General features: G+C 37.1%; 1 protein-coding gene across 7 annotated transcripts in view; it reads right to left on the bottom strand.

Annotated features, from left to right (window-relative positions):
* The window catches only part of AGTR1 (angiotensin II receptor type 1), a 45,101-nt gene that overhangs the window by 4,763 nt on the left and 15,079 nt on the right, over positions 1-25,259 (bottom strand). For 3 of the 7 annotated variants that reach the window (NM_031850.4, NM_032049.4, NM_004835.5), the window contains one exon: positions 8,004-8,061. The exons of the other annotated variants lie outside the window; for them this stretch is intronic. The gene's annotated coding sequence lies outside the window, so the exon portion shown is untranslated. The remainder of the gene's footprint in view (positions 1-8,003; positions 8,062-25,259) is intronic. 7 annotated transcript variants of the gene reach the window in all.

Here is a 25,259-nt window from a genome sequence, read left to right as displayed (position 1 = left end):
AGGGAGTACACTTTACGCTCTAGAATCCCTTGGGTGCCCTGAGCTATGAGAACAGGGAGGAAATTTTCTTCTCCTTCTCTCTCCTCTTGACTCGACTTTGACAGCACACAACTCATGTGGGTTCCATTAATCCTATGTTTGGAGTGAGTAGAATTTTATTAACTAGTCTCAAACTATAACTAGCATTCATAATACAATTTCTGTGGGAAAAAGTCTGCCTTTGTGAGGATCAATTTATAGGCATAGTTTTGTACTCCAACTCCTTCACAAGCTATCAGCCTTTTTTTCAGTTACCATTGATTCATATTGACTGGTATTTAATATATAAAAGGTAGCTTTGAACAGCTAGGGGATCATCCCTGGAAACTTCGGTGAGGTATTATTACCTTAATGAGAATTCGCTTGAAAGAATCTGGACATAGCATGGAATATGCCAATTAGAAGAACATTTTACATAAATGTATAATGACCAGAACTCCCTGCCCAATAAAGAAACAAATTTTTTCCTACTCGAGGGTGGAGGAAAAAGGGAGAAGAATTTTAGGCGATAGAAACAGTGGAAGGAAGCACAAGGAAGTAGCAATGCAAATAGCACATTCAGTGGGTATTCACCAACTCATCACATATTCACTGAACACCTACCATGTGTGGGTGTCCAGGATGCAAGGGGAATAAAGTCACAGTTCTCCTCCTCTACACAGTTTAAGTCTAGCCAGGGGGACAGGAGCCTTAAAGGCAGTATTATCTTTAGTGTGTCGAATGTTACATCATATCAGAGGCATGTGGAATACTCTGTGTTTATCACTGACCCAGATTGGTGGGGAGTGTGGGGTTTGGGGGAAGGATGGTGAGAGGGCAGTGGGGGTGGGGAGAGGGATCAGGAGATGGCACCTGGAAACCAGCCAGGTGGAGTAGAGATGGTGTCATCACTTGAACTTTGCCCTCCTTACTAATGCCTGCAGCATCATCTATGGGAAACAGCTCTCATAAATTAACAGATATTGCACAACGCTCTTGGGGGTGTGGGATCTGGATGTGCACTGGGCATTTCTAGATGGGAGGGTGACATAGGCCATTTCCCAGTCTGCACTTCTGCTACTGATAAGCTTCCCTAGAGAAATTTGTTTCTAAGGAAAGAAATAAAGATGGGACTTTTGTGATTGGCAGTTACTTTAGATTGATGATAAATGAGTGGGAAACAGTAGGGCTCTTTTTTCTTTGAAGCTGAACGGATGCTGGTTTGGTGAGAAGCCGAAGGAGAGAGAGATGTGATTGACTAGAAAAGCCAGATTTGTGAGATCTAGAAAGCAGCTATGTTTCAGTCACATCCTGCTTCTTTTCCCAGAAGAGTTACAGGTAGATAGAACCCTGATTAAAAACATAGGAGGATCCACCTCTTCCTACTTTTCCTATTTTTGGTCTTACTATTCCTTTTATCCAAGCTCTGTGGCTTACATGAATTCCATAGCACCATTTCCCCTTAGAGAAAGGAAGATGAATTTGGGGTTGAAAGACTTGAAATGGAATCCTCCTTTGCCACGTACAAATCTGTGTGGCTCTGGGTAAGTCATCCAATTTCTCTGAACATGACCCTCAGTTTTTTTTCATCTGTAGGAAACATGAACAGTGATATTTATTGCACATGATCTTTGTAGGAATAAAGTGAGATAATGTTAAAGCACTTGGTATATCTTTCAAATAGTGCTTAATGAATATGTTTTACTTGAATCTTTACTATTATTTTTTGAATGCAAGGCAAACATTGACTCAGAACAGCCATGGGTTAAGAAAGCGTGAGAGTAAAGAAAAATGTTTATCATAGGTAAGTTCCTTCCATTGCCATTAAAAGTCTAAAAATTCCAGGCTGTTGTTCTTTCGAAGTATGAGTAAAAAATAATCTTAAGCAGCTGAATAAATTTGCCATGAGTGAGGTGGGAATCTAAGTCTGTGGCAAACATAGGTGTTGGCTCATTGTGGCCAAACCACGTTTATTTTACAATTGCTTTTGTAAGAGTTACCTTATATCCTTTGACAGCTTTCCTGGTTCTTAAAGCATAAGAATGAAGATTTTCTTTCCTTTTTTTATTCTAAGAATGCTTTCCCAAGACTTTTGATTAGAATATTAATACCTTCTTAAGCTTTTAGGCAAGCCAAAACCAATCTAATTAAATTGTTCATTACAAGCTCTTTTTAAAACTAGTTTGCAATCTAAAGAAAAAAAAATTCCCCATAGTTTCCTATGATAATAAAGAGAGAACTAAATGACCAAGTAATTATATTTTGGAATAATCTTCTATCAAAGTATCTCTCTCAAGCATCAAAAAGAGTAGGAAAATGTTTGTAAGCCATTTGCTTATAGTGCTGGACAGCTCAATAAACCATCCTGTTCAATAAACTGTTGTCTTTATTGTTCCTATTTTATAAGTCAGACTTAGAAAGGAACTGTTTCTGCTCCTATGTTGCTTCCCCCACCTCTCTCTGCCAAGTAAGGCCACAGGAAATAACTGTTAGCTATTCACTTGTGAAATCATTGACCCATAGAAATTGGCACTAATATTTCTAGGCTTTTTACTCGTTTCTTTTTCAGATCTACTTGTTCTTATTTCTTAGCCCTCTGTTCCTATTTTACGAAGTCTACTTCTTCTTTTATTTTCCTTAACATTTTGAATATCTGTCTGTTAAGAGCCCCTACCCAATTGCTTTACTATTTATAGTTCCTCAGGTATAAATTATATTTATTGCACTTGTGGACACTGTTTCTTGATAATGGACTTCTGCTTAGGTTTTGTAATCTTTGACTGTGTTCATTTTTGGTGGGAATTAACTTGCTTGGGAAGACTGAGTGCCTGGATGATGGTAGCCTATGAAACCTCAGCTTGGGGGTACAGCACTCCCTTGATCTGGAAAAGTTTTTAATGCTCATTTCTGAGCTTAGTTTTCAACCTTATATATATATTTGCAGATACTATATATTTGCAGTATTTAGTAGATTAGTAACTATACCACTCTGAAACTCTGTCTGGTCTTCAGAAGTTTTCTAGTCTTTCATCATGAATAGGTAGTGATTTTTCAGTCCCTGGCTTTAATCAGGAAACACAGCTTAAATTGCCTTCAGTATATGTGCCTACTGGTCCTGACTTTCACACTGCCAAAGTCACTGGAACTTTATCTCAGCTGTGTATCTAGTGTTAGTCCTGATCTGGCCCAATGTGGTCTTAACTTTTATTCAGAGCTGTGATCTGGCATTCTGTATTTAAGGCAGGAAGGGCAGTTTCCATGCCTGCTTCGTCCATTTCATCTCTACTGAGGTTGCCCTACATGTTATTTGAAGGTGATAATTTCCAAATAAGTTGCTTAAACCTAATAGCTTTGGATTATAGTCATGGCTTTTGATGAAGCGTTTGAGCCTTTACAGGTTGTATTTGCCTCTATACCGGGAATCCTGGCAGCCACGAAGAGGGAAGCATGGCAGACCACCTGGCACCATGGGGCAAGAGACAAGTATTGCTTTTAAGTCAGATACATGGGAGAATGCCATGCTCTTGGTTGGTAATCCTAGACTAACTTCATGTTAAATGATTTCTTTGGAGATGATTTTGTTCACCCCTGCTATTTCTGAGTGAATAGTTCTCTCAATGCAAAACATTTTATTAAAATTATTAATGTCATTCTAATTAAGTACTTAAGATCCAATCTCCTCAAACTTAATAAATGGCTCTCTGATATATGTACATGGTAAATAGTGGCTTCTGGCCATCTTCCCAAGTCAATATCATCCACTGTCATCTGACCTCACAAGAAATAAAAACAAGGCAAGCTGCTTTATTAATTCTGCATGTACCAATTGTGACTAACTGTGGTGACAGTGGTTAAATGTTCCATCATTTCCAACTAGCCCTCCCCTTGTTTCATCCAAAATAACTAAGAACCCAAAGAACCCAGTTTTATGAAAGGAAATTCAGAAACTTTATAATTTATATTAACATTTATATTTAGGATATGAATTACAATGAAAGTAAAATGTTAATCCCACATTTTAGCTTCTTGGGAATTGTTTAAGACTACTGTCTAATAATGAAACTCTAAACTACAATTAAACTTCTCTCAACTCTAAAAGTTCCCACTTACTATAAATTAAACAACTCAGTTGTGATGAATGCCCCAATCCCTCCCACCCACATCACTATCCAAAATTCTTAGCTGTTTTTGTCGTTTTTATTTTATTCCAAAAAGTAGAGAAACAGGTGCCAATGAAACATATATGATCAAGTCTAATTCACATGCTTTAAACATCTTCCTTCGACATGTTAGTGTTAGTATTAAATACTCTTATGTTAAATATGAAAGGCCATGAATGGCTTTCCAGGGTGTCTGGAGAGAGGAGACTCCAGAGACTAGGAGAAAAGGAAAATAAAACCTAACTTGGAAGAAGGCCTGTAAGTAAATGAACCCCTGTCCTCTTACACTTCTAAATTCTTCAAACTTATAGACTCATAGAATTTTCTCACAAGAATTATCGCCACATTTCAATGGATTAGTATCTCAGCCATCATGGGGAGGAAACATCATTTTTAATAATATGGCTCTTGGAGACTACTCACAAGCTTTTCTTTTCAACAGAGAAAAGGGCAGCACCAATATGGGCTTAGTCAATAACAATTGCTTCATCCAATTTGTGAAAAAAACTACAGATTTTGTATATGAAGCCACCTCACTTTTATTTCTTTGAAACTTTAATTCAGCAGCAGCAACTGTTTATCTCATTTCAAATTCCATTTTAAGGGGTGTGAGGAAAGTTATTGGGCAGGAAAAGAGGTACTAATTAATTTGTACCCTTAAGAAATTATGATAATATTAGAGAATTTATATGCATTATGAGTATTATGTTGGGGTTATTGGCCACATGGCAATTCATTTTAGATTAAAGCTTTTAACATTATACAAGCCACATAACCATAAATTTTAAATGAAGCTAGAATATTCGATATACTGTACACGTTTTTCCAAATTGCTCAATGTTCTGATTGCAGAAGAAATATTCTTTAACGATAGCCTGCAAATTGGTGGAAAATGTGGGAGCGGACTGAGGTTCTAATTTTAGCTTTCCCACTCACTGGCTGGGTGACCTTGAAGCAGTCATTTAGCTTCCCTGGACCCCTGTATCCTCGGGGAGTTGGTTATACTCTTAAAAAAATTTTCCGGGCCGGGCGCGGTGGCTCACGCCTGTAATCCCAGCACTTTGGGAGGCCGAGGCGGGCGGATCACGAGGTCAGGAGATCGAGACCATCCCGGCTAAAACGGTGAAACCCCGTCTCTACTAAAAATACAAAAAATTAGCCGGGCGTAGTGGCGGGCGCCTGTAGTCCCAGCTACTTGGGAGGCTGAGGCAGGAGAATGGCGTGAACCCGGGAGGCAGAGCTTGCAGTGAGCCGAGATCCCGCCACTGCACTCCAGCCTGGGCGACAGAGCGAGACTCCGTCTCAAAAAAAAAAAAAAAAAAAAAAAAAAAATTTTCCGAAGCATGAACTTTTATAATCCTTCCATTGAACAGGTATGCATCATTTGACGAGAAGGGCAAAATTGCTTGACAAGTAGAGTAATAACAATTTCAAGAATTATAACAAGGCAGTTGATTAATGCTATCACATATTGTTAAATCAGCTATCTAAATATTTTTAATCCCACACTAATTTAATAATATTCTATATTAAACACAAGAACTCTTTGTATTGAAACAACAAAGTGAAAAAAATTTACTGTTTACTCAAGATGAATAAAGAAACTCAACATAAGATTATCATAGTCACAGGTTTTTTTCTTTCTTTTAAAAAATTAACTATTACTCAAAGAAATATTTCCCAGGCACATTTGGATAGCTGGTTGTGGTTCTAGACTAACGAGGTCAATGTTATGAGTTTGAGCCCTATCTGGACTACTTTGTTTCATTCCATTTATGGCCAAAGGCTGTAAGCCTGTCAGACATCCCTTACGTTATTTATTGACACTACCAAGTCAAAGAGTACAGTTTGGAACATGGTTGAAAATCAAAATTAAAAGCTTGCCATGAAGTTAGAGAGTCAAGATTACATGGTCCTGTGAAGAGGGGGGCGCAATGTGATACTGTTAAAATAACATAGAAAATCAACCCTATTCTCAGATTCTTTGTAAGAAAATACAACTTTTTAAAGTTTAGCAATTAGTTAATGTGGTCTAATTGCCCAGATAAAAACACAGAGGTGAGGGCAGAGTATTATAAGAGAACTTCAAGAGAAGGTTTCAACATTCTGAAGTTAAAGGGCCTCTGTTCTAAGAAAACTAAAGCTATAAGGGTCATATTTATTTGATTTTATCACATAGTTTCCTTTTCTTCCATCACAGTTTTGTATGCATTATAGTTCTTTACTTTTTATTTATTGATTGATTAACATAAAAATGCTGTAAAAATTGAGGAAGAGCAGAACAGCCTGGAAGAGAAAGCACTGGACTGCTGTCCTGGCAAAGAGTCTGCTCTGCCAGTAACCGGCAACACAATCTTACATGGCAATTTAATCTTTCACTTTGGTTTCCTTTAAATATTACAAGATATTTAGAATGAGAATACCAACACCTGTTCTCACCTCTATTTCATGGACTGCTAAAAATAAAAAGTTCTTTGGAAGACATAAAAGCATTTTTAAAAATATAATTGTTCTATAATACAAGGGTAAGTAAAATGAATTAAATAAAGCTCAGACTTTCAAAATATTACTAAATTTTTTTATTCGGAAGTTCAGCAGAAATATTTTTCATTATTATAATAATGTTTTTAGTTTGAAGAATTATAACAAGGCACTTGATTAACCCTGAAAGAAAAGTAAAATAGTAGATATTGGATTGCTTCTACATTTACTACTTGTGGCAGCAAATGTTTGGGTACAAACTGACCCCTCAGGGCAAATCTGAACAACGTATATATTTTCTTTGGTCCTCAGAGTATTTACAGCTTTTGGGACTTGAATTTTCTGTAGTTCACTAATACACCCCTCTATTTTCTGGTTCTTTAGTTCAGTGCTGTCCAAAAGAAATAGAAAGTGAGACACATATATAATTGTAATTTTTCTATTAAAAACATTTGACATGTAAAAAGGAACAGGTAAAATTAATTTTGATAAAATATTTAATCCAATATATCCAAACTATTGTCATTTCAACATGTAATCCATATAAAATTATTAAGATATTTTACATTTTTTGTACCATGTCTTCAAAACCCAGGGTATAATGTATGCTTCCAGGACACCTCAGTTACACTAGCGACATTTCAAGTGCTCATCACACTGGGGCTGGCTGCTGTACTGGAAGCACAGTGTAGGTGCTTTTACTCACAGACGTCCCCTAGTTGGCCCCTCTAGCAATGGTTCTGAAAGTGTGGTCCCTGAAACAACAGCATCAGCATCACCCAGAAATTTGTTAGAGATGTAAATCTCTGGCCCCACCACAGACCTACTGAATCAGAAACTCTGTGGGTGGGGTTCGGCAAGCTGTTTTTAATGAGCCCTCCAGGTAATTCTGATACACACTAATATTTGAAAAGCACTGCCCTGTAGGCAACTTAATTTGCAACTCTGGCTTAAATGCTGATAATCCTGATGAACAGGCAAAACCAATCCAACAAACAACAAAAGTACCCTCAGCTAAAATGTTTTCATTTAACATTTATGAAGCATCAAAAACTGAATATGAGAAACTTACTCATTAAACTGCAGATTTCTATTACACATTCAGGACTGGCGTAAAGTGTGCCCAGCAGGATGTCATCTAGTAAAATCCCCTTTGCAGCTGCTCACAGATATCTGAAATTCCTATAATTCAGGTAGGGTGGAATACCCACCTTCATACCTTCTCAGGAAGAACTAAGATCTACCTGAGAAGAAACACAATGGCTCAGGTGACAACCAGAGTTAAGACAGTGGGAAGAGCATAGTGATGGGAGCCAAAAGTTCTGAATTAAGCACATGATTTACCTCCTCTGAGCTGTGGAGCCTTTGGACTGTCAGTTGACTTGTGATTCATTTTCTTCATCTGGAAAATGATGATAATAATAATAATGTTCACGATGAGGATGATGAAGTAGCAAGCATGTGTCCAGTTTGGTGCAAAACATTGTTGGAAACACCGAATGAGATCATGGATCTGGAGGTGCTATGAGACCCTAGAGCTTTGGAACTTTTGTTGGTGTTATTAAGTTCACACTGTGGTGTAAATGGCTAATTTAATTTATTTTTTTCCCTGCGAGCAAATTTGGGTAAGAGAAATTGGGAAACTACACGTGGTGCTAGAAGTGGAAGAAACTAAAGTACCAGCAAGGGGTGGAAAGACTCAGAGAGGGGAGGCTGAAAGGCACTGCTGAGAGGCTGCTTGGACCAGACTGTTTCGCCAGCTCTGAGAATTCCTTTTGAGTATTACATAATTTTTAAACATAAATTACAGTGATATTACATCACTGTAATAAAAATATTTAGACCATTCTATCTACTATTATCTACCACTCCATTTCTTTTCTATGTTAGGCTACTTGCGTTTTCTAATTAAATATCCTGTGATAAGAGACACCGATGCCAGGCCAATAAAAGGTAAACAACACTTTGCCAACTGAAAAATAAGATGAGCTACTGGTGACTGCTGCTTCCTGTGAAAACTTCATTAGCAATAAATGAGTTACCAGATGTCACACATCAGATTTGAAATTAAAATATATTCCCAGTAGTTGTGTGCTGTCTGAGCAGAAGTTAAAAACGAACTCTTTCCAAGAGAATTGCAAAAAATAATGCACCAGTTTTTGCCTTCTGGTTGTTTGTTCCTCCTCTAAATGTAAAATAAAATGCACGTTCTGGGTTGTGAAGTGGAAATATAGCATTTCTGCATAGAAGGCTATGTAGGGAAGTGGCACATTACTCAAATAGCAGTAACTCCTTAAGGACAGGAGAATTTTTTTAACATCCTGTGCCACACCAAGACCATCATCTCCTCTTGTTTTTAACTTTGCCATCGCAAGTTCTCCTCTGCTCACCTTCACGTTCAGCACGTGACTTCTGCTTTTATTACCAGCAACAAAACTGTTCAAGTCAGAAACTGTCAACTTTGACTCCACTTGTCCTGAACTATAATAACCGTGTTAGTGCTTTTCTTTCTTCAGGAGATATTAAAACTCTCCTCTGGTTCTTCCAGCTAGCTAAGCTGAGGCTCTTGTTCTCAAAGTTACAAGTCTCCAATCCAAAAGCAATTGTGGTTAGGGAAGGAACCCCGCAGTAGGAAATAGAAGAATACAATTTCATTTGAGCCAGCAGAAATTTCAAATAAGCCAATGTGATAGAAATATCTAACACTCTCTAGTTTTTATAAACAAATAATTTTGGCTGAACTTCTTCAGCCCAGTTGCTTTGCAGTTTCAACTGGTTCCAGCTGAAGATCATGGTCACTTGAAATCATTTATTTTTTTTCTCCTCAGTTAACTTTGGTTCTTATCTCCTGCCAGATAGGTGAAGCTTATAAATCAAATTCAGAGGGTAAAAGTGAATTATCATTCTCCATCCACCTCTCGGAGAAATATTTACATGGAACTTCTCTATACACAGAAATTCCCTGAAGCACCTAACAGTTTATTTCTGGATCATTAACTACTTATCAGATGCTGGGTATGTGGAAACTGCTGGCCTTTGGCTTTCACAAGGAAGATGGAGCATTTTTGAGATGATTTCTATCAATGGGGAAAATGTCAATTCAATCTTTTCAGCTTCATAACTTTAGCACAAAATGACATACAAGTGTTTAAGTTCATTTAATGTACCATTATTTTATACTTCTTTTTGTTTCTGCTGATTAACAGAAAGGACTTATAATAGTGGCTTAATATTAGCAATAGTAACACTGATCACTTATTATTCATTGGATGCTTACTATGTGCCAAGTGTTGCATTAATTGCTTTCATTTCTACAAGAGACCTATGAGGGAAGGCATCATTATTCCCATTGCTCAGGTTAAGAAACAGGAATAGAGAGCAGGTCCTTACGTTTTTGACATTCTGTAAGTAATGTTTCAAGGCTCTATTATTATTATTTTTACTTTTTGGCATGGTCATCTCTTTATACTCCAGTCTAGTGCCTCTCAATTAGACTGATTTTGTACTCCAGGGATATTTGGCAATGTCTCGAGACATTTTTGATTTTCCCAATGTGGGAGAGGGAGGTGTGGGGGGTATTACTAGCATCTAGCAGGCAGACAAGTGATACTGCTAACCATTTTACAATGCGTGGGACAGTCTCCCACACCAAAAAATTATCTAATCCAAAATGTCAATAGAGTTGCTACTGAAAAACCCTGCTCTGGTTCCTACTTTTTGTTTTAACCTTTGATAATTTATATCTCTCACCTTTTATGAAATAAATTAACTGTATACTGAATTTTATTGGAGGCTTTTATTTCATGCATTATATCTTCCGGGGAAAACTACAGATCCCTCACAAAAGATAAAATCCTATTGGGTGACCAAAGTCTAAAGCTGTGTTGGGTGCTTAGTAGGAGCTCTCAAACAGGGAGTTTACTAAATATCTGCTGTGTTAGATCATTCTAGAAATTACCTTCTGTAAGCATTTTTCATAACTTCAGGATTCTGCACAGATAAGGCTGAAGAGGGAATTTGAGCTCAGATTCATCATTAGGGTTTCAAGAGATTGATGGCTGTTGTCGTGGCCCCAAGGTCTGCACTGAAGGGAGGAAGCCACCTAGTCCGGAAGTCAAACCCTGCCCTCTTGTGGTATCACTGCCATAGACACTTCGGGGAATCTGACAGGATCAGAGGGCATCGATCTGTATCCTTCCGGTCTGAACTGACTGCAATATTTAAGTGTAAATTCAGCTTGCATTCACATTAGGCCTTTTCTTCTTTGTGGAACAGTACATTAAATATAACATGTAATCAAGGCTTTCATTAGAAACCAAGTGGAGAGAAGAGAGAAAGAGAGAGGACAAAGATACCATACTTAGTTACAAATGTTACTTTCTGGAAGTTTGACAATTACAGAGTTTCACTTACTTAGCTTGATTCTCTGTTACTTGCCTTCTCTACAAAACTGCTTTTCTGACTAATAAAGGCATGGAGTAGTTTTTGTAGGCAAGGAGAAACAATTCTGGGAAAAAGCTTTGTAAGGAGCAATATTAATAGACATCTATGCCCAAAATTTGATTCCTGTGGTATTTTCCCTACAAATTTCTTATAGGCTAGTTCAAGGAGAAAAGCATCATAAAGTTTGAAAGACCAGCTAAATCAGTGGAAATTATACTCTCCCCTTTCCCATTAAGAACTCTATTCTCTTACTATGAAAACACCACTGTTCTTTCTTATCTCAGAGTGCAGCCTTTTCTGTATACTGATGCCAAATGGGTAACATTTTAGTGAGACATTTGAAGTTGTGATATGCAACTCGGTGGGGGACAAACAAGGTCATTTAAAAGGTCTCTTCATTGAGAACATCAGAGCTTTCAAAAGAGGCACACAGCCTTTCCCGCATAATTGGGGGTAAATGAAGAAAAAGCCCATAAAGTACAAAAATTAAAAAAACGGACGGAAACACTCAGAATTAAGAGTGAAAAGATATCATGAATGCTGATGCTGAATCTTAACACACAAAACCAAAGGCAATGAGTAAAAGAGCAATTTAACTTAAGAAGGTGATGAACATAAATCAGTTGACTGCAGGCCAGGCATGTTGGCTCACGCCTGTAATCCCAGCACTTTGGGAGGCCAAGGTGGGCGGATCACAAGGTCAGGAGCTCGAGACCAGCCTGGCCAGCATGGTGAAACCCCGTCTCTACTAAAAATACAAAAATTAGCCAGGCATGGTGGCATGCACCTGTAATCCCATCTACTCGGGAGGCTGATGTAGGAGAATCACTTGAACCCAGGAGGTGGAAGTTGCAGTGAGCTGAGATCATGCCATTGCACTCCAGCCTGGGCAACAGAGCGAGACTCCGTCTAAAAAAAAAAAAATCAGTAGACTGCAGGATTTAGCAAGGGAAAAAAGAAACTTAGAACTAGAATTGGGGGATTCTTCTTCGCTTCTCTAGAAATTGAGATCTTGGACAAATCATTAAACCTTCATTGATCTGACAAATGGAAATAATATTATGAAGCCTCTACCTTGCCCTTGGAAGAGTGTTTTAAGATTATGTGTACAAAATAACTTTTTCAAAAGACAGTATATTATACCCATTCAGTATGAATACACTAGATACAATAAAAAACAAGTTTGCTAAATAGCTGAAGTGCGAAGCTAATTTATAGACCAAGAGATATATATTCAGCACCTAGAATCTTAAAAAGGAATATTAATTTAATTAATGTTAGCAGAGTCTATTATCTGGCTGGACTCATAGGAAACACCACCTTTGCAGTCTCACAGGTCAGGGAGAACCTGTCTCCGGCCGGGTGTGGTGGCTCATGCATGTAATCCCAGCACTTTGGGAGGCTGAGGCGGGTGGATCATTTGAGGTCAAGAGTTTGAGACCAGCCTGGCCAACATGGTGAAACCCCGTCTCTAATAAAAATACAAAAATTAGCTGGGCATGGTGGCGGATGCCTGTAATCCCAGCTACTTGGGAGTCTGAGGCAGGAGAATCGCTTGAACCCAGGAGGAGGCGAAGGTTGCAGTGAGCCAAGATCGCGCCACTGCACTCCAGCCTGGGCAGCAGAATGAGACTTATACATATACTAAGTAAATTGCGTCATAAAATTTTACTTTACAGATGTAATTTGTTGCATTATTATATATGGCCAATAAATTGATTATAATGAAGTTAGAAGCCCTAATAATACAAAAATATATAATGATATAATTTGTTATTAATCCCATAAAGCAATTTAAAGAATTACTTTTGGGGAAGAAGTGAAAGAATAAACACATAAAGTACAAATGACTTTAAGTTAACTTTATGTTGGAGGAAGAAAATATATCACACTATAGACCTTTGGTTGGTGAATCAAACCTCAACTAATTAAATGACAGAAACTTCCTTCAAAATGCAGGATTCAGAGAAAAATTTTGTTGCCTACAGCTCCCCTAGTATTCATATAAGTCTCTTCTGTGAATTATCTGACTTAACATGTGGTAATTGTTGTTTTTTAATAGAATTTCATGAGTTCACTTTCTAATAATTATACAACACTGTATTGTTTCTGGCAATAACATTTTTGGTATTACTTTATTACTATATAAAATAATGGAAAAACAAATTAGGCTAAATATTTTTTGTACTCAGAATAGAGCAGGCAGATTTGTGAAGTTCATTAGGACTTTGTGAGAATAACATAATATGCTAATAATTTTGGATATTTTGATATGAAAAAGATTCTAATTCAGAGAAAATATATTTTTGGAATCAGTCTATTCCAGTAGCTATAGTTGTGTAAATAAGTCAATGATCAGCTTAGAGTCATTCCCTAGATAAATTACATGGTTTCTTTATATCTTATCAGAAACTAGTATGTTCTCTTTACATAAAAAGTCATTCTGCAACTTACGGACTTTTGATTTAGGTTTGGAGGGTAGCTGTATCTCCTGTGAGTCAGGAAGTCACAAAAATGTCTGCTATAGAAAGAAATTCATGGGTCAAATTTATTGATTTTCTTCTTAAGAGAAATACAAGAATATACATGTATACCCTTTGTCTGGTAAACATACACAATTACTATATTATCAAAGATGTTTTGGTTGTCAGGTTATCCAAGTAAAGTCTATTTTAACCTAAAATGTGGTTGAACTACTATTCTCTACAGTCTTTTGTTTTCCTTGTAAGTCAGAGATTCATAAGAGAGTCCTTGTAAGTCAGAGATTCATAAGAGAGTCCTTGTAAGTCAGAGATTCATAGCATTCTATTGTTGTTATGGTCCCTAGACATTATGCATTCCAGGGTTCACATATTCAAATACATATATAGGCTGGGAGAAATAGGTGAAGTGGACATGGTGGTGAATGGAGGGCCCTCCCCCTTTCTTGGAGGGGGGCCACGGGGTCACTTCTCAGCTATAGTCAACTGTGCCAATTGTAATGAGGTGGGGGAAAACAGCTAACTTTAAAATATAAACTTAAAATTTCAAATTTCATGTGAAAGATCCTATTTTAAAATGTTTTCAACTAATATATATATATATTTTAAAACCCAACACTGTGGAACCTAACAGAACTCTTCTAGATTAGATTTAGTTAAAAAGGCTGCCAATTTGAAACTTAGGATCCAGGCCAACCATCTCATTTTAGAACTGAGACGAGACTCCAAGCCCCAGAAAGATGTTGCAGACCCTCATTCCAATGTTTTAACTAGACTGAAGACTTGAAGTATGTCTCTGTTTGTTAGACATTCCCCCTTCCATTCCACATGCAGCGATTCATGGCTGAATAGTTGGAGGTTACGGTAAAACACAGAGATGTGACAGGATGAGTCAACTGTCTACCCTTGATCTCACACAGCCAGCTTGCATAGTCTGCACTTCGTGAGATGTGCCTGACTCAGTCTGAGGAAGCTTTCAGAATGGCAGCCTGAACTTCACCCCTACCCCTCATTGTTCTTGCTAGCAACTTATTTTTCCCTTTTCGTTCTTCTATCCTGGAAAGCATACTGTTACATCTCTTAGAGCTGTTGCTGCTCTGAAGTGCTCCAAAGTGAAGTCTCTATGTGAGTGAATACAGCATAGAATCCATGATTTGGGTATTCTTATACTATTTTGACATTTACTCGACAAATATTATCTTGTGTTCAAAAGGTCATCAGTAGTGAAAGGGACTGAAGCTATTTCATAGAGCCACACTCAGTGGCCCTGGCTAGATGACTGGTGAGGAGTTTACATTTTAAAATATTTTAAATAAATACTGAAAATATTTATTTTTGAATAGTTCTTATCAAGTGTTTCTGAAGTGAACTTTGCTACAAATAGGAAATTATCTGTACATTTATGTTTTAAGGCTACATTTGTCCTTTTGATACTAATGTATTTCCTAAATACATTCACTGCAGATTTGGGAATACACACACATAAAAAAAGTGCAGGAAGAGAACACATTGCTACACTGACTGAGGGAGTTACACAGGATTAATCCTGGATGAATATGGAGTATTTCTGATTAATAGTAACACTTGGCTAGCACATTCATTGTTTGGGATTCTATCCCTAATAAAACTTCCTGGACAAGCAAGTTGATTTTTCAGATTTACTGAAAAATAGTTTAATTCTCATGAGCATATTTCAAACTCTGTACAAGGACAACATGGACATGTATACTTTGGTTAATTGCTTGGTTGGCTGGAAGAACATAGTTCATGATTTCATACACAGCTCCTTGGATGTGAAGCGTTGGGAGATGCAAAAATGCTGACTTCCATATTAATTGTATTTCATGTGAAGAGATAATATTTCATGAGTTTTAACTAGAGTTTTGGGGTAAGTCAGAAAACAGAGACGGAAAATGGTGGTCTGATGATGCAAACTCTTGTAACTGACTCAGAAGGTGCCATGTTGATGACTGCGGATGGCTTGATGGCTACCTCATGAAGAGGCTCAGTCTAGAGTGGAGTATCAGTGCATGAAGGGAGTGGAATCTGTTCCAGGCCAGCAGGGACCAGAGTGAGATGAGAAAGGGGCTACAGAGTGGCACCCTCCCGCCTCTTCTTAGAATGAAGGACTTTTTCTGAGAGTTCAGCATTAAGAAAGGATGAAGCATGAAGTATTCAGCTGCTGGGAGGAAACTCAGCGTCCAGGGAAGAATGTTGTGGGGATGTGAAACAAATGTAGTCTTAGCATCTGAAGTCTCAGTTTAAGTTTTCATCTCAGACATTGTAGTTTTCATCTCTAGAAGTTCAATTTCAGTCTTTTTTATATCTCCCATGTCTTCATTTAATATGTTCAAACTTCCATCAAGCATTTTGAACATATGAAATAGTCATAATAACCATTTAATGTAATAGTGTAATAATCCTATCATCTGTGTCATTACTGACTGGGTCTGTTTCTATTCATTTTTTTCTTTTTATGGGTTGTACTTTCCAGCTTCTTCGCATGCCTGGTGATTTTATAATGGATGCTAAACATTGTGAATTTTACTTTGTTGGATATTGGATGCTTTTGTATTCCTACAAAATTTCTCCAGTTGTTTTCTGAAAAGCAGTTGAGTTACTTGCAAATAATTTAATTCTTTTGAGTCTGACTTTTACGGTTTCTTAGGTGGTACCAGAGCAGCAATTAGTCTAGGGCTAAATTTTTCCCATTCCTGAGGCAAGAACCTACTGAGTATGCTACCTGATGCTCCATGAATTATGAGACTTTCCACTGTGGCTGGTGGAAATAGCAACTATTTTCTAGCTCTTGATGACCTCTGGGGCTTGTTCTCTCTAATACGTTTGGGTGATTATTTGCCCACATGCACTGAAGCACAAGGGGTACCATTTGCAGATCTCTGGGTTCTCTGTGCAGCTCTCAACTCTCTGGTACTCTGAACTCTAGCCTCCTTGGCCTCTCTGGACTCCCAGCTCTGTGTCCTTAACTCAGAGAGGACCTCGAGTTCTGCCTGGGTGTACCATCCCTGTATCATGCCTGCAAACTCCCTCCAGGCAGTGGGCTGGGACAATCCCAGGTCATTTGTTTCCTATCCTCCAGGGATCACTGCCCTTTGTTATCTGATGTCCACTCTCTTGAAAACCATTGTTTCATATGTATGTCCAGTTTTTAAAATTGTTTTAGGTGGGGAGGTAAATCTAGTCCCTGTTATTCCATCTTGGCTGGAAGCAGAAGTCTCTGGATTTGAGTTTTGCTCCTACATCTTACATGCTACTTGATTTTGGAAGAACTACTCGGCTTCATCCTCCTCTTTGCCCATTTATGAAGTGGGGATAATACTGCAATGATTAATCGATGGAGTCATATAGGGGAAAACATGTTATAGTCTACATGATTAGGCAAAGGAACACTCATACACTGAGAGTGGGCTTTTACCAAAAGGACTGGAGCTGAATGAACATTTTCTCTCCCGAGCAAGATAACCTGAGCCACTTTTTCTTGACCACACAGGGATAACTACCTTCTTTGTTGCCCTCTAGCCAATTAATGACCTTGCCCTTTTACCTTTCTGAACCTTATAGGACAAACAGACAACTCACCTCGTCCCAGAACCCATGGGGCAAAAAACAAGCTTATCTGAAATGTTTTGCCAAAGCTATACCTACACAGGATTATAGCACCACCAACAAATTCTGTGTGATTTGTAGTAATAAAAATCTCATTTGTTCTTATTTACACCTTAATTTAAAATAATCCTTTTCACTAAACTGTGAAGTAGAATGAATAAAACTATTAATTGAGAACATCTGCCCACAATTATAAATATATGGAATTCACTTAGTTATAATCAGTACATTAACATTTGAAAAGAAAATGATTTTTTAATGCAAAGATATCTTTCTTCTGACATATTAAAATTCCAACACACTAAAGTAGTAACGTGAGTAAAAAAATAATAAAATCCTATGGCTTTTTTATTGCATGTTTATTTAGGCCAAACCGGTACGAGGCAGCTAGATTAATTACTTTTATACTGTTAAGTACTGTACATAGTTAATTATTTCATCTAAGTTGTGTGTGAGCCAAACCTGTGAATTACTATTCATGCAGGGCAATGATGATAATTTATGTACTCCCTCTATGCTACAGCTTGTTAATATATTATTTTTGATTTGAAACTAGATGTTAAAAGTTTGCAAGAGGCTTTTAGACTACCCCACGACATAAGTTCTAAAATTATGGATTTGAAAAATGAGGTCGACAACATGCTATGATAGGAAGTTATTTAGATGATGGAATTTTAATAATTTGGTATGAAAAAATACATTCTCCCATGTTTTCTTCTGATCTGTTGACACTTATGCTTTGAGCCTCTGTGTGTGTGTGTGGTGTGTGTGTGTTTCTGCTTGATTTTATGATGTGGTTGTTTTTTGGGTCCTTAGCTTCCTACACATCTACCACATGCACAAAACCTGTTTTCACCCACTCTCCCAATATGGCTAATCAGATATTTAATTGTAGCTACCTCTAACCCAATAGCTTCAAGTGGTTAGAGAGATGCTCACAACTACCATGAACTTTTCAAGATAAAGAGATGACACTGAATCTATTTTTAAAATGTGAGATCAACTTCTCAAAACTTCAATAACAGATTCCCAGAGATACTTGTACATAGTGAAGTGAAAGAGAACTTTAAATGTTTTACAGATCCAAATATTAAAAATTTAACAGAAGTTATTAAAGTAAAAGAGCAAACAAAGAAGAAATGAGTAAAAACAAAATATGTAACTAAAAAATAAAGAGAGCTGTCATAGAACCGGCTTGCTGCTCTGGGTGGCCCTGGATGGGCAGCGTTAGCATCAACTGGGAGTTTACGAACAAGACAGCCTCAGGCCCCACCCCAGACCGAGATAGAATCTGCATTTCAAGCAGATTCCCCAGATGACTTGGGTGTTCATTAGAGTTTGAGAAGCACTAGTCTAGAGGCACATGGAGTTTCCCTCTCATGTAGACTAAAAAGCCATCCAATCGCTGAGCTCACTGAAGTGTGGCTCCCCATGGACAGAACCTGAGAACAGCACAGGCAAGTTGAGGTGGCTGCAGATTGTTTTCATGGGGAGCCTCTGGAGTACAAAGGAAGCAAAGCCCCAGTGAGGCAAAACTGTGTACAAAAATATATGTTTCATATAATACAGAGATCTAGCAGCTCTGTTCACAAGATCTTTTAGAGAAAAATAATACAGATCCAGACTTCTTACTGTGACTTTGGCCAGAGAGTTTTTGCTTATTTAGAGGAATTGAGGAACATCTAAAAGGATGGGAAGTGTGCCACCTTCCCTTGAAGCCCATTCTGGCTTTTTTTTTCCTATGAAATATGTGAATTTTATCATCTGAATAATTTTAACTAACTTTTCCCCTTAAAATGCAGGCACTTTCTGCGCAATTTCCTTTTCTTGCAGAGGCTTTCAAACTGTTCAACCACTAGAGGTCTGTATTACCTATTTTAAAAAACCATTACTAGCTGGCTGAGACTTCCAGCTTTCAACTTCAATACCTAATTGCATGTTTTAAGATTTAAAATCTCAAGACATAACACCAGGGAATAAAAAAATCACAACACTTTAAGAAATGAAGGAGAAAACCGAATAGGAGCCCTTCCATTTGAAACAAGACTGAGTCTCCCCTGTTATTTCTAGTAGACAGCTGAGCACACCTTCATAATCTTAAACACGGAAATCAATGGCCAATCACAAATCACGAGAACAAAATTTATTTTCTTCAAAATGCCTATGCAAAATAGTTTTTATCTCAATATATTTAAAACCCATGTTTCAACTTCAAATTTTAAAGCATTTATTTTCCTATTGGAACAAAAGAAAAATTAAAGTGGTTGAATTCCCATTTGGTTTATTTAAAACACCAATTTTACTACTTTTATGAGGGCTTTAAAATAAAATTTCATTTAATTAGGTCATAATATATAGGTTTAAAAACTAATGTCCTTTCAGTCTTAGAAGGCTCTGTTGCAATTTTATAAACTAATGCATGAGACTGAGCTTGCCTGGTTAAAGTTATAATAGAGGTGACACTTGCTGGTGGCCTATACTGCAAGTTGGATACCCCAGGTTTTCACTGCGTTCCATGTTCACCTGGAGATTTTCACTAGAGTAGTCCATTTGGGTCTACCCTCTGCCAGTAGAAGCCCAGGCTCTGAGCCTTCCAGAAACCTGAACATGAGGCATCCCATTTACAGAGCCATCCTGATTAGAAATGATGAAACCTTTCCCTAGCATATGCAGCAGGCCTCCTAAAGAACTCCACACTCATGTATTCACATATTTAAGTAGAATGGTTGAAAATATTACAGACATAAAAGCTGTAATTTACTGAGTATTGCATAGAGGTTTGGGATTCTGATGCTAGATTTTCATAGATTCTAATTACGCCTGCATTTCAGTAAGTGGCTACATTTGTTGCCAGGCAAGGTGTAATACTAGGAAGCTCACTTCTTTTAAAAGGCATTATTGCATAATGTTCCTGCCCTGTAAGGCCTCTAAAAGCATAAGGACGTCTAGTGTGGCTTCCCTCTCAGTCTGTCACTTTATTAAAACACAACAATTTCCAAGTGTTATTTGGCAGATCAGCTGGGTTCATTTCAAAGGCTAATATTTAACAGAGGGGAAAATAACTCATCCCAATCCTTTTAAAAATTGTTTTCTATGTATTTGCAGGCAAATTGCCTAGTGTTTTATATAGATCTCAAAGGTAGGATTCAAGAATAATTTTAGTAATGTCTTACACTGCTTGGCTACATAATCAAAATGATCAATTCTACAGCAGAAGGAAACTAATTCACGGCACAATAATTTGTACTACAGACCACTGTATTTAAAGTAATTAAGTTTTTCTTCATTTCCTGTTACATTTCTGCCGATGGCTGGTGGCATATGAATTAACAATTTTCCTCACTGAAATGAGACATTAAAATATCTGCTTTATTCTATCCTGAACATTCCTCTCAGAGCTCCTGACTCTTCTACTATAATTCAAAATGGTGTTAGCTTATACTTGTACCCAGTATCAGTATAAAGCTATAATTAAATACTAGCACAGTGCTCATTTATATTTTTTTAAAATGCTGCAATTGTAGCAGTTAATTAAACAGTAACAGTAAGATCTTAGACTCTGGTGAATTTGGTGGGTTATTTCTGGGAGAAAAATGGTTGGAACCTAGGTGTCGGAATTACTCCCAAATTTGAGTTGCTGGCCCTGGCATTGGTTAGCCATTTGGGAAATTTAGGCTCAGTTTCTGTAAAGAAAATTGAGCCAATAAGATAATTTAGCCTATTTTTTTTTGTTGGATTAAATAAGAAAATACAGTGCCTGACACAGTGCATGACACAGTGCCTGACACCAGTAAGTGTCCAATTAATAGATGTTCACTATTATTTTGTCTGATCTTTTTTGTCTTCCTTTATAAAATGGCAACAACAATACAAAGGCAATAATTCCAGTTATGTCTAAGTGTGTGAGCAATAGATAAGAAAAACCACGTGTGTGAAACAGTACTGGGCACCAGTTGCTCCCCCAACAGTTTCCCCAAAGTTTTTGCCCTTAAAACTAGATCACTTGGGAGAGTCTCAAAGATGATTCATTGTTGGACTTGAGATTTATTTTTATTTTTATTTTTTGAATAAGGAGACTGTGCCATTGAGATTAATTCATCTCTCTCTTTTATTTTTTCTGATCTGAATGACAGCTTAACTCTGTGACTCTACCAGACAAAATAACTGCATTGAAACAAGAGTCCACCAGGGACAGAAACCATTTTCAGAGCAGTTAAAAAACTAAGGTTAAGAAACTATTCAAATTCAGAGAACTCAAAGAAAAAACCATAATCTTGCTTAAAATGCAACTTTGATTATTCCACTCCTTGTGACTTAGAGATGTTTGTTTTCTCTAAAATGCCGTATAATATCTCTTTTCAGGAGAGAAATCAGTGGCAGAAGGATTTGAAGGAAGTTGTGATGAACTAGCTTATTTTTTTTAATTAGGAATGAAAACTTCTTGTTTAAGGTTATGTATTGCATATTCTCAAAATGTTCTAGTTCCTTACATGGCTGGTTTTATGGGATGTTAGTAATATAGAAGGTACTGGGAAATAAATTCCTGTATAGTTATAAATAAATAACTGTATTTGCACTAGTTATAAATAAATAACTGTATTTGTACTATTAACCAGCCTTAGGACCTGAAATTTAACCAGGCTTAGGACCTGAAATTCTACTAGATCTTGTTCTCTTTGGATTATATTTCAGTTTAAAGAGCCACACATCTCTGTCAACTCAACACAACCCCATTTCTAGGAGCCTCCTTTTTAGTTCTGTGAGACCAGGGCTTCCATGAGAGAAGTATGGTTCCGTTGTGGGATAGGGTAGACTAGGAAAGGGAGTATAGCTGAGGAGCTCTGCCCAGGAGGACAAGGGCACTGGTGGAGTGCTCTGAAAAGGGCCTTGCTGAGGACTACTTTACCCCTTCCCTAATGTTGCTTAGACCTGTGGATCTCTGAACACAATTCAGTTTAATTTGCTAAAAAGGCATTTCCATAGGATACGGTTTGGGGGTAAGTGCCACTGTTGCATAGCATTTAAGTATGCAGCTGTGATCTGGGTTAACAAAATTCTGGATTTCCATCAGGGTACTAGTTGTTTGAAAGTTATCCAAGTCACAAACTCTCTAACGGTCAGAGAAATATGAAGATTAAATTAAATTAATTAATATAGTCACAGGTTCTCACTAAATGATAACAATTTTTAGCACAAAGCACATGTATATATGAATACAAGGGTAAACTAACTTTCTTATGGTCCAATTTTTCTGATATTAAAATACTTTCTAATGATAGCATTTAATTACCAATTTACTTAGATTTAGAACAATTTGAAATATGCTTGCTAAAATCTTATTTGACTAAAACAGTGACAATAAGCAAGAATAATGGCATTTATTTTTATCAGAAATTGCATTATTTTCAAAGCCCTTTAGGCCACAGCATTGAGCTACTATTGTTTTTCTCAGATAAAGGAAGCTGCATTTTTTTCTCATTCTACTCATGATTATTTCTTATTTCTTACTCTGGGGGATGTCTCTAATGGAGGCTGGTGAGGCAGCTACCCGTTTGGGGGAGACATGACATCACAGATGCTTGTCTTTTCCTTGGCTCCCATCTATTGGAAATAGTAACTAAGTCCTCTGCCTAAGCTGGTAGGAGAGGAGCTGTAGAAAATCAAATTAACAGGAGAGAAACTATTAGTCTTCATTTTCTTGTTTTCAACCTGCGAACACAGATTGTTAAATATGCCTATTCCCTAATCCTCATTAGGAAATCTTAAAGAATAGCAGGACATGAAAAAAGCATGGGGATTATGAGAAAATGCTACCATTGAAAAATAACACAAAGTGAGGATAGTTTTCTCTCATCCAGATTATCTGTACATTTTTAGAGTTAGCCTATTTGAAATTTTCCATTAAATAATTTTATTCCTACTTACATGTGGATGGATGATACACACACAATCCCAAATATATAATTTTATTTAGAATTTTCTTATTAGACTTGAAGATAAAATAATTTAAATGGAATAACTAGTACATGACATTTTGCACTCAGTGGTATCCCTAGGACTTGTTTGAATACATTGCTGTATTTATCTAAAAGGGCAAAGCTTTCATTAAAAATAATCTAGTGGCAATGTTGCACAGCCCTAATTCTCTACTACATGAAAAGTTATATTTTCAGGCCCAGAGACACAGGATTACAGGTCAGTGATAGGCAATGCATATTTGAAGTATACCAAAAGCACCAAATAATGTAGCTGAGTATCCAGAAGGAACTGACATAAAATGCAGGGGTCTAATTACTAGAGTCATTGCCACAGAACCAGTCATCGATGACTAAATTATGCACCTGGTTTCCTGGGAAAATCTGCAGTTTGGGGAACATTTCACTACACTTCAGAGCATTTTAAGTCTTTAAATCATTTAGCTTTTAAAATCCCACCCATTTCTCCTGTTCTGGCATCCATTCTAAATATGTCTCTAGTTCCTGTCAGTTCATACTCTTCAATACTTGATTTCACTTTTGTTATCCACTCTTCTCTGTGGTTTCTGAAGACCCTGGCATACTCGCTGTGCCTTGACCATGCCAGCACATTGCTGCCTCAAGGAATTTGCATTTGCTCTACCCTCTGCCTGGAGCGATCTTCTCCCAGATGTCCACATAGCTTCCTCCTTCTTCCTAAGAAGACCTTCCCTAAACACTCTTTTTAACCTGAAGCCTCCCTTCCACTTTATTTCCATTTTCCATGCCATCCAACATATTATAAATTTTACGTGATTGTTCTCATCTTTATGCACTGGAATGTAAGTTTTATGAGGCCAAGCATTTTTGTCTACCTTGCTCACGACTTTGTGCTCAATGCTGAGAATAGTGTCTGGCATGTAGGTGTCCAAAAACACTTATTGACTGAAACACAATAGAATCTGCTGCAAACTGTAGCCCTAAGTAGGAATACCTAGTGTTTAATATCCTCTTTCAGTAGTATTCCTATCATCATGACATTTCTTTGATATTCTTATTCTAGAGGCAAAGGGAAGAAACTTTAAGTTACCTCATAACTGTTCAATAACTAACTTCTAGGTCATGATAGTTGCAAACTGAAGTGCCATTGGGATTTGGGCAGTTAAATAACTGTGTGAAACACCCAGTATAAGGCATTAAAGAGTGCTAGAATCTGTGACAAATAGGAAAGTTTATATATTGCCCTACGTAAAACCATTCAGATTTGAAAGAGAAATCTAAAACATAGCCCTGTCTGAACAAAACCTGTCTACCTGTGGCTTCAAAGCCCTTTTTGGCTGCCAGTTGTGGCCAATAGGACCACAAGGACATTTTCTAAGTCATACTGGGTTTTTTTCTACCTCTTTTCAAATATATTCTCAGGCTTGGGTATGTGACTGACTCCACATCAGGACAGGAATACTCAATTGATCAAATCTAATTACATTTGCTTCCCAACTAAATTGTGTATCACCTTCCCCTCTTGTGAGAGGAATGGTTCCTCTTGGGTCCTCGGCATCTGATTATTGCAAACCTAATTGATTTGCGACATTTCATTAATAAAGTTAACTAAAACTAATTATACATATTGAGTAAAACTTGCCTGTGAAATGAATTTTTCTATTTAGCTTAAGGGTTCTTAATTGTTAGACTGAATTGCTGAGGAAGATTGCAGAATTACTTTCTCTTGGGAGACATACATATATATATATATATATTCCCCCCCTCCAACCAATATGGATTGATGGATGGTGATACCATAGAAACCAAAAAAGAAAAAAAATGATTAAATATGAAAGTTAAAGATACTGAAGCATTGTCCTAAGAAAATAAAACTGCAAAATAGGTCACACAGATCTCTTTAAGATGTTAAATTAGGCCTGTTGTATTTGTCACATTATCTTAAGGGGTTTGAAATTCAAATTTTCAAATGTATCCACATTTATTGTTTTATTCATAGTGTAGATTTTTCCTTCACTTAATTGGTGAATATTGTATTTCTCACTCTTTCAGAGAGTATGTTTTGTCTAATTCATCCATCTATTTAAATCTAAATT

This window comes from Homo sapiens, chromosome 3 (genome assembly GCF_000001405.40).
Source record: "Homo sapiens chromosome 3, GRCh38.p14 Primary Assembly".
NCBI lineage: Eukaryota > Metazoa > Chordata > Mammalia > Primates > Hominidae > Homo > Homo sapiens.
Note: the sequence above shows the minus strand (reverse complement) of the source record. Positions and strands in the feature narration are given on the sequence as shown.